This window comes from Homo sapiens, chromosome 1 (assembly GCF_000001405.40).
Source record: "Homo sapiens chromosome 1, GRCh38.p14 Primary Assembly".
In the NCBI taxonomy this organism is placed as follows: Eukaryota; Metazoa; Chordata; class Mammalia; order Primates; family Hominidae; genus Homo; species Homo sapiens.
Window position 1 is genome coordinate 202,830,449 of NC_000001.11, and position 9,898 is coordinate 202,840,346.

General features: G+C 48.5%; 1 annotated feature.

The window, feature by feature from the left end:
* Positions 8,300-8,848: an enhancer, noted in NCBI's record as "H3K27ac hESC enhancer chr1:202807876-202808424 (GRCh37/hg19 assembly coordinates)". NCBI's record gives its function as "activates a minimal SCP1, AML or CMV promoter by ChIP-STARR-seq in naive H9 embryonic stem cells {active_cell/tissue: H9 hESC(naive)}" and the evidence as "EXISTENCE:reporter gene assay evidence [ECO:0000049][PMID:30033119]".

The following is a 9,898-nucleotide window of genomic DNA, read 5'->3' on the forward strand; positions in this document are numbered from 1 at the left end:
CTCCATGTTGAGGCTGGTCTAGAACTCCTGACCTCGGGTGATCCGCCCACCTCGGCCTCCCAAAGTGCTGGGATTACAGGCGTGAACCACCGCGCCTGGCCTCCTTTTTTTTTTTTTTTTGGAGACTAGGTCTTGTCATGTTGCCCAGGCTGGTCTCGAATTCCTGGGCTCAGGCAATCCTTCCACCTTGGCATCCCAAAGTGCTGGGATTACAGGTGTGAGCCACCATGCCTGGGTGGCTATAATTTTTTTTTAAAGGAAAATAAATGTTGTCTAGGATGTGGAGAAATTAGAACCCTCATACATGCTGCTGGGGTTGTAAAATGGTGCAACCACTTTGGAAAAGCATTTAGCAGTTCTTCAAAATATTAGAATTGCCATATTATCAAGCAATTCCACTCCCAGGTACATACTCAAGAGAATGAAAACATATATTCACACAAAGGCTTATACATGAATGTTCATACCATCATTATTATAAACAAAGCATGGTAACAATGAACATGTCCACCAACTGATGGATGGGTAAGGAAAATGTAGTACCTTCATACAGTGAAATATTATTCAGCAATAAAAAAGAATGAAGCACAGATACATACACATATGAACCTTAAAAACATTCTGCTACATGAAATAAGCGAGTCACAAAAGGCTACATATTGTATGATTCATTGATATGAAGTATCCAGAATACACAAATCCATAGAAACAGGAAGTAGATTGGTGGCCAGGGGCTGGGGAAAGGGGAATGGGAAATGACTGCTAACAGGTGTGGGGTTTCTTTTTGGAATGATGATAATGTTCTGAAATTGACTGTGGTGATTGTTGCACTACTCTGTTAATATGCTAAAAACCATTAAATTTGAACTTGGAAAAGAATGAATTTTGTGGTATGTGAATTATATCTCAAAAAAAGTTATTTAAAAAACAAACCAGCCAGGAACAGTGCCTCACACTTGTAGTCTCAGCAACTCAGGAGGCTGAAGTGGGAGGATCACTCGAGCCCAGGAGTTCCAGGCTGCAGTGAGCTAAAATCACGCCACTATACTCCAGCCTGGGCAACAGAGTGAGACTCTGTCTCAAAAACAAAAACAAAAGGCTGTAGAAGCAAATGAAAGGGTTTAGGCTATCTTGATGGTAATAGGGAATCATCAAACAGTTTTCGGAAGGACAACAAAATGATCCGAGTTGTGCTTTGGAAAGATCACTATGGGCATCATGTGAGGACTAGATGAAAAGAGGTCATGATGAGGAAAACAATTAAAGAAGAAAATATGGGCCAGGCACGGTGGCTCACGCCTGTAATTCCAACACTTTGGGAGGCCAAGGCGGGCAGATAGCTTGAGCTCATGAGTTCAAGACCAGCTTGACCAACATAGTGAAACCCTGTCTCTACAAAAAAAATACAAAAATTGGCTGGGTGAGGTGGTACATGCCTGTAGTCCCAGCTACTTGGGAGGTTGAGGTGGGAGGATGGCTTCACTCCAGGAGGCAGAGGTTGCAGTGAGCTGAGATCCCACCACTGCACTCCAGCCTGGGCGATAGAGCCAGACCATACCTAAAAAAAAAAAAAAGGAAGAAGAAAATATGTATAAGGTGTCGATTTCAGTGCCTGGCATATAATAGATATTTGATAAATGGCACTTCCCTTTTCTTTCTCCATGGACTGAGATCATATCAGGGCACTCTGCCTTAGACAGTGACTGAGGCCTCATTCTCATGTCTACAGGGGCTGCAAGACAACATAGCTGGGTAAAGTAGGCCTGGTGTAAGAATCCAGTAGCAGCCAGGCATGGTGGCTCATGCCTCTAATCCCAGCACTTTGGGAGGCCAAGGCAGGCGGATCACCTGAGGTCAGGAATTTGAGACCAACCTGACCAACACAGAGAAACCCCGTCTCTACTAAAAGTACAAAATTAGTCAGGCATGGTGGTGCATGCCTGTAATCCCAGCTACTTGGGAGGCTGAGGCAGGAAAATCTCTTGAACCCGGGAGGCGGAGGTTGCAGTGAGCCGAGATCACACCTTTGCACTCCACCCTGGGCAACGAGAGTGAAATTCTGTCTCAAAAAAAAAAAAAGGAATCCAGTAGCAAAAGTGTCATTATAACTGACAGCTGAGGCTCAGCCTCCATGTCTGGGGGATGGTGGAGAGTGGTAGGCTCATGGCAAACTCAGGTCTGCATGCCGTCTCTGAAGCTCAGCGTTACTGGACAGGTGCCCTGGGGGAAGGTGGGTCCAGCATTGCAGATCTGGTCATTTGTCAAGAGAAGTTGGAAATTTCAATTTTTATGTTAGACCTCTCAATTTTCTGAATGCTGGCAACTAATTCAGAATGTTATCAACAGATGGTTTTAACACAATGGCCAGGTGCAGTGGCTCACACCTTTAAATCCCAGTGCTTTGGGAGGCTGAGGTGGGAGGATTGCTTGAGCCCGGAGTTCAAGACTAGCCTGGGTAACAGAGTGAGACCCCCCACCTCTACAAAACAAAAACAAAAACAAAACAGAATCATCATCAACAACAAAACAACAAAAAAACACTACGAGCCACTGTTTTGCTCTGTTCCGGGGAGGCTTTCTCGAGTTAACAGTTTTGCCTCAGGTTACCAAGTACTTGATTGGGTTACAACTTCCTGGAAATCATTTTTAGCTTCAGAAGCACTGGTCCCCTAAACGGATTCCTGGGACATACCCCTATCTCTGTCAGTAACACTAAGCCCCTTTGAGCGTGTATTACTCTGCAGATGGCCGAATCGATCTGTTGTTGATTCTATTAACTCCACTTTCAGAGGTTGGCATTTTCCTCGTACTGACCCACCCACCCTATTTGAGGCTTAACATTGTTTAGGACGAGCCAGCAGATGATTTACAATGAGTGTTATTATTCAAAAGAAAGTCCTATATTTGCTACAGACTGGGTGTGGTATCAAAGGTTGGAGGGGCCTGGAGTTTAGGGTGGAGTTCGGGCCAGGTCCTGGCCAAGCCCTCACATGCGGGCAATGTGAGTTCAAGTCATACACAACCAAGTGGGCATGCCATGTCCCCCAGATAGGCCTCCTTTTTGTGTGCTGGGTCGTGGGTTTCACCTTGAAGAAGGTGAATGGTGAGCATAGACAATGAGGGAAGTTATTATGGGGTTGGCAGGGGAAATGCAGTTAGGAAAGAAAGGAACATAGGTCACCACATAGTCCCAGGGGCTCTGGTGATAAGTTCTGAGAATGCCACCCTTCCTGGGCCCTCTTCTCCTTAAAGGTAACGCCAGGAAGGGAGGGGGTTTATTGCCTGACTGAGCCTTACTGGCCTCCCATCCCCCAAACCTTCTTCTCTGGGACATTCTTTTTTCCCTAAAGTGGAGGCCTTGCCTTCTGTTGAAGTGAGGGTTAGGGCAGGGGAAGACAAGAAAGTCAGCTTGATAAAACTTGCTGGCCAGGCATGGTGGCTCATGCCTGTAATCCCAGCACTTTGGGAGGCCGAGGTGGGTGGATCATCTGAGGTCAGGAGTTTGAGACCAGCCTGGCCAACATGGCGAAACCCCATCTCTACTAAAAATACCAAATAAATTAGCTGGGCATGGTGGTGGGCAACTGTAATCCCAGCTACTCGGGAGGCTGAGGCAGGAGAATCACTTGAACCCAGGAGGCGGAGGTTGCAGTGAGCTGAGATCACGCCATTACACACCAGCATGGGTGACAGGAGCAAAACTCTCTCTCAAAAAAAGCAAAAACAAAAACAAAAAAAAAACAAAAATAAAACACAACATGCCTTAATTTTCCTTGGGGGAAGTGAACTCTACAAGGAGATCAGCCTTGGTTACCAGAAAGCAAGATGCTTCTCTGAGCATAAATGCTGCTGTTGTCCTCCTCCAACTCCTTGCTTGGATTTTTTGGGACAGGTGAGATGCGGAGGTTAAGGGGCCTTGGGCTTGGGTCTGATTTCTGGTTCACTCTAGGCCCTGGTCTCTTCATAAACACTTTCCTCCAAATCTTCATTCCATGCCCTGCCAACCTCATTCTGGCCTCTCACAAGCTGGACACCGTCTTACAAAAAGCTCAAGGAATTAAGATTCTGTTTTTGGGAAAGAGGAAAGGTGACATCCTCAAGTTAAGGAAATGTTGCTTAAGAGGATTTTTGGAGAGTTGAATAAAAGTGAAGGGGCTTTCTAACAAGGAGGTTAAAACCATGGCTTTTGGAGTCTGAAAGGGTTCAAAGTTTACCTGTCATTTACTAGCTGAGTGACTTTGGGAAGTTACTTTAACTTCTGGACCCCATTTTCTCATCTGGTAAAATGGGGTTACGAATACAGGCTCTGAGGATTAAGAGGTGAGAAGTACAATGAATACTTAGAACATTGCTTGGTACTTAGCACTGAAAAATGCTAGCCATCGCTAGTTTTACCAAAGAAAAAAGGAGAAAAGATGATGTGGTTCCTGGCAGGTGTTCGGTGGCTCCCTGACACCCACATTCTCCGCACCCTGCCCGGAACCTCCTCCCTCCTTGTCTGCATTAGTAATCCCTGCCTCCTCTGCAGGAGCCAGCTCAGCGGCCCCTCCTCTGAGCTCCCAGGGCACCTTGAGTTGGATTTGTCTGGACATTGGGTTCCTGTTTTACCTCCAAATCCACTGCTAGAGCTCAGTGGATGTTTGTTGAATTAGTGAATAATCCCTTGCTTTTGTATGTCACTTCAGTTCATAAAGCTCATAGGAATACATTATCTGATTTAATCTTCAGAAGCACACTGCAGGGAAGATCCTGTTTTATGGATTAAAAATATACATATATGAGAGACCGGTTACCTGGAGTCTGCATGGTTCATGCAGATTGCGACAACCTAGACCCTGCCTGAGGTACAGCTCCTGGGTCACCTCATGCAACCAAAGGTGGGCGTCTCGGGGAGGTTCCCACCAGCGCAGGGAGGTGGCTTCTGAGCAACCTCACTAAAGTCTCCACCAAATTGCCAGCAGGGCCCAGGCCTTTCCCTGACTGTCCCAGCTCTCTCAATGCAATGAATCTGGGAAACCCAAACATCCTGCCCCTCTTACCCCATCAGACCTGCCCTTCCAGGGATATGGCTTTCCCTCACCCAGGGAAAAGGCTGAGGGGGCCTCAGGCTGCTGTGGGGGACATGGGTGTCCTCCTTTCTTGGTGACCAGCAATTTGACTTTGGCCAGTGTGAAGAGTGGGGCTCTGATGGGGGTGTGGGAGGAGGAAATGAAGTGGGAGCACAGCCCGCCCCCATCCTCTTTGCAGCCTCTGGGGTTCCCCTCAGGTCTGTCTGGCAGCTGTCTTCCCCACTGACCTCTTTTCCTCCCTCTGTGCTGGCCACATCCTTCCTTTATCAAAAGCAGCTGCTTTGGGTTCTCCTGAATTGCCTTTTAGGTGAAAGGCATTTGTGTTTCTTGGTAGCTGGTTCCTGCTGAGTAAGGCGGGACAGGCTCTGGCTTCCCAGGTGAGACTGGAGAGGCCAAGGCAATCCTTCACTCCTGGAGAGCTGGGGAGGAGCCCACACCACTGGGGCAATTGAGACCCCGTCCCCTCCCCTCCCCTCCCCTCCACTCCACTCCACTCCCTTCCCCTCTCTCCATCTCCAGGACCCAGCAGCAACCCTTTTTACTCCAGGTTTCTCATTCATCCAAACATTTACTGAGCTCCTGAGTGCTAAGCACCTGAGAGGAGGGTCTCAGTGTCAGTGTCACCTCCTCCACGAAGCTTTGGAGCTCTCCCTGGGAATAAGTAAGCTCTTCTCTGGTTATTATAGTTCAAAGGAAGGTGCACAGACGGTGGTGCCACTCAAACTTGGGTTTTAATTCCAGCGCTATTTACTAGCTGAGAGATTTTATGTTATTTAACCTCTCTGAGCCAGTCTCTCCACCTATGAAACAGGGATTCCAGCTAGCACACAGGGTTGGCACTGGGGCTAAAGGGAGTTCTCCATGTAAGGCAAATGAGAGACACTTGGAGGGCATCAGCTCAACTCTCCCTCTCCAGGAGATGGAGGTGCCTAGCCTTCAGCATTTGTCAAGCCTGGCACCCTCTTTCACCCCATCACATCCTTCCATGGGGGACCACAGGCTTCAGCCCATTCCAAGGGCCTCTGTTGCTCCTGCTGACGTATCCCTAGGGGCTCCAGGGCAATTGCACACTCAGCCCTGGTCTTTGGGCTGCCCCCTCACCAGGTCTGGGCTCCTTCTTTGTTAGGAAGCTTCAGACAGGCTCAGGCAGGCAGGACATTTCCACTGTTGCCAGCCCTGCCCCAGGTAGGTGGGGAGGAGCAGATTTCTCCCACCCAGTGGCCTCAGGGCATAGTTCTCCCTTTTCTGGTTAGGCTACTTTAGGAGCCCTGTGCATGCAAGGAGCAATATTGTTATCCATGAGGGCTAAGAAATGGGGCAGAGAGACCATCCAGGCTCTCTGGGTCCCCTACAGGCATCATCACTTCCCTTGGGTGTGGTGGTGTCTCTCTGGTAGGAGAAAGAGCAAGAGGTGGGGCAGAGGTGTGGTCTGGATATGTAATTTCAGACATCTGACCTTCAATTGGAATAAGGATTCCAACTGTCTTTATCTGTAAAACGGAGGTAATATCTTCACAAGGTTACTGTGGCAATCAAATGAGACTAATGTGTGGGAGGGTTCAGAACTGTAAGGCAAGAAATCCATCACAGGACATTGCCCAATTTAAAGTCCTTCCATGGCTTCCCCATAGCTTTTGGGGTACAAACATGTTTACCACAGCCTCCACCCAGCTCACTAACCTCATCTCCCACCATCTGACCCACATGGTTCTTGAAGCTGAGCTCATGCCTGCTCTGGGTCTCCTGCATGCGCTACTTCCTGGTCCGGACTTCCTCCATCTAACCAACTACTCATCATCAGCTTTTTAATCTTTCTCAGAGAAGCCTTCCCCGACTCTTCACACAAGGCCAGGGCTGCTTGTTACTTGCCCTCTTCGGACCTTCATTTTTGCACACTTACAACGAGTTGTGTGACTGTCCAAGGTCTGCATCCGCCCACCTCTGTTCCCTGAATGTGGGCTTCCTGAGGATAGGTACTGAGCAGCATGCCGACAGTATCTCCAGGCTTTGCAGGGCATTTAGCACACGGTAGACATTTTATTTGTTGAAAGAAAAAAGCAGCCGGGCGCGGTGGCTCATGCCTGTAATCCCAGAACTTTGGGAGGTTGAGGTGGGTGGATCATGAGGTCAGGAGTTTGAGACCAGCCTGACCAACATGGTGAAACCCCATCTCTACTAAAAATACAAAAATTGGCGGGCATGGTGGGGCACGCCTGTAATCCCAGCTACTCAGGAGCCTGAGGCAGGGGAATAGCTTGAACCCGGAAGACAGAGGTTACAGTGAGCAGAGATCATGCCACTGCACTCCAGACTGGGGGACAGAGCGAGACTCTGTCTCAAAAAAAAGGAAAAAAAAGAAAAGAAAAAGGCTACTGATTCAGAGGCAGCTCCGCCCCCAGGCCCCCAGGCTCTTCATCCACTCTCCTTAGCCTGAAATTTGTGGCATTCACAGTCCTCCCCAACTCCACTAGACTCAGCAACTGCTCTTAGTCCAGCAGAGGAATCAGGAGCTGACTTTCCTCCTTGCTCCTCCCTATCAAAACTCAAAATTCTGGTCACTTGCAACTTCCTTCTTGACTCCCTTTCATGAGACCAGAGAACGCATGGCCTGTTTACCATGTCACCTCAGTTTCTAGTTTGGGGCTGTTGTGTAGATGGATCACTTGCCTATTAGTAAACCTCCTGAGGATGGCTCCCATCCCTCCCTGTTAGGCAAAGAGCAGAGCCTCTCGAATCCAAAGGCTTGAGCACAGGTCCAAGTCCAGCACTGTCCCAGTTGTTAAGGCTTTGGACAGATCAATTACTGAACCAGTTTCCTCATCAGTAAAATAGAATACCATTTCACAGAAGGGTGGAAATCAGGAGGTACACAAATTACGGTGTTCGACACTGCTAAGCACTCTATCTGTGCAGCGCAATGTGATAGACTCTACTTCATTTTCCATGTAGGGTAACTGAGGCATGGAGGGGTTACACAGGCGGCTCGCTCACACCACCATTAAAGTAGTCTGAACTCAGGCAAGCTCCCCCAGGAGACCCAAGCCCTTTCCTAACTGCCAGACTTGCTCTGTTCCCTTAAAGTCAGGGGCAGAAAAGGTGCTCAGCAGTTTCAGGTTATTTTGATTCAAATTTGGCTGGGTGTGGTGGCTCACGCCTGTAATCCCAGCACTTTGGGAGGCAGAGGTGGGTGGATCACAAGGTCAGGAGATTGAGACCATCCTGGCTAACAAGGTGAAACCCCGCCTCTGCTAAAAATACAAAAAATTAGCCAGGCGTGGTGGCGGGCGCCTGTAGTCCCGGCTACTCAGGAGGCTGAGGCAGGAGAATGGCGTGAACCCGGGAGGCGGAGCTTGCAGTGAGCCAAGATCGCGCCACTGCACTCCAGCCTGGGCGACAGAGCGAGACTCCGTCTCAAAAACAAACAAACAAACAAACAAACAAAAAAACAAATTCACCAAGGCAGCTAGGGAGGTTTGTTTCCTGGAGCTCACTTGGAGCTTGTAGAAGTACGTGCTGATGTCACAAACAGGGATGTAGAAACTTTAGAGATTCCCCTTCTCCCTCCTGTATTAACAAGTGAACTAGCTGGGCGTGGTGGCTCATGCCTGTAATCCCAGCACTTTGGGAGGCCGAGGCAGGCGGGTCACAAGGTCAGGAGTTCAAGACCACCCTGGCCAATATGGTGAAACCCCATCTCTACTAAAAATATAAAAATCAGCTGGGCGTGGCGGCGGGCACCTGTAATCTCAGCTACTTGGGAGGCTGAGGCAGGAGAATCACTTGAACCCGGGAGGTAGAGGTTGCAGTGAGCTGAGATCGTACCACTGCACTCCAGCCTGGGTAACAGAGTGAGACTCCTAAAAAATAATAATAATAAAATAAAATAAAACAAATGAACTCCCACCTTGTTCTTGCAAGGGAGGACAAGAAATTACAGTGTAATGATGAGACAAGAAGAAATTACTATGTTCAAAAGAGGTGAAGGAACTTGAGTCCCTAACACTATTTCACTATTACAAATTTTTTTTTTTTTTCTGAGACGGAGTCTCGCTCTGTCGCCCAGGCTGGAGTGCAGTGGCGCTATCTAGGCTCACTGCAAGCTCCGCCTCCCGGGTTCACGCCATTCTCCTGCCTCAGCCTCCGAGTAGCTGGGACTACAGGTGCCTGCCACCACGCCCAGCTATTTTTTGTATTTTTAGTAGAGACGGGGTTTCACTGTGTTAGCCAGGATGGTCTCAATCTCCTGACCTCATGATCCACCTGCCTCGGCCTCCCAAAGTGCAGGGATTACAGGTGTGAGCCACCGCACCCAGCCTGATTTCAAATTTCTTAACCTCGGCAAGTTAGCAATTTTTTTCTTTTTTTTTCTTTTGAGACATAGTTTCACTCTTGTCGCCCAGGCTGGAGTGCAGTGGCCCAATCTTGGCTCATTGCAACCTCCACCTCCCGGGTTCAAGCTACTCTCCTGCCTCAGCCTCCCAAGTAGCTAGGATTACAGGCATGTGCCACCACGCCCAGCTAATTTTCTATTTTTAGTAGAGACGGGGTTTTGCCACATTGGCCAGGCTGGTTTCGAATTCCTGACCTCTGATAATCTGCCTGCCTTGGCCTCCCAGAGTGCTGGGATTACAGGTGTGAGCCACTGTGCCTGGTCATTTCTTCATTTTTTAAAGCTATATTTTGTTTGGGCTATGAATGTCAGAATGAGGAACCTTTTTTTTTTTTTTTTTTGAGACGGAGTTTCGTTCTTGTTGCCCAGGCTGGAGTGCAACGGCATGATCTCGGCTCACTGCAACCTCGGCCTCCCGGGTTCAAGCGATTCTCTTGCC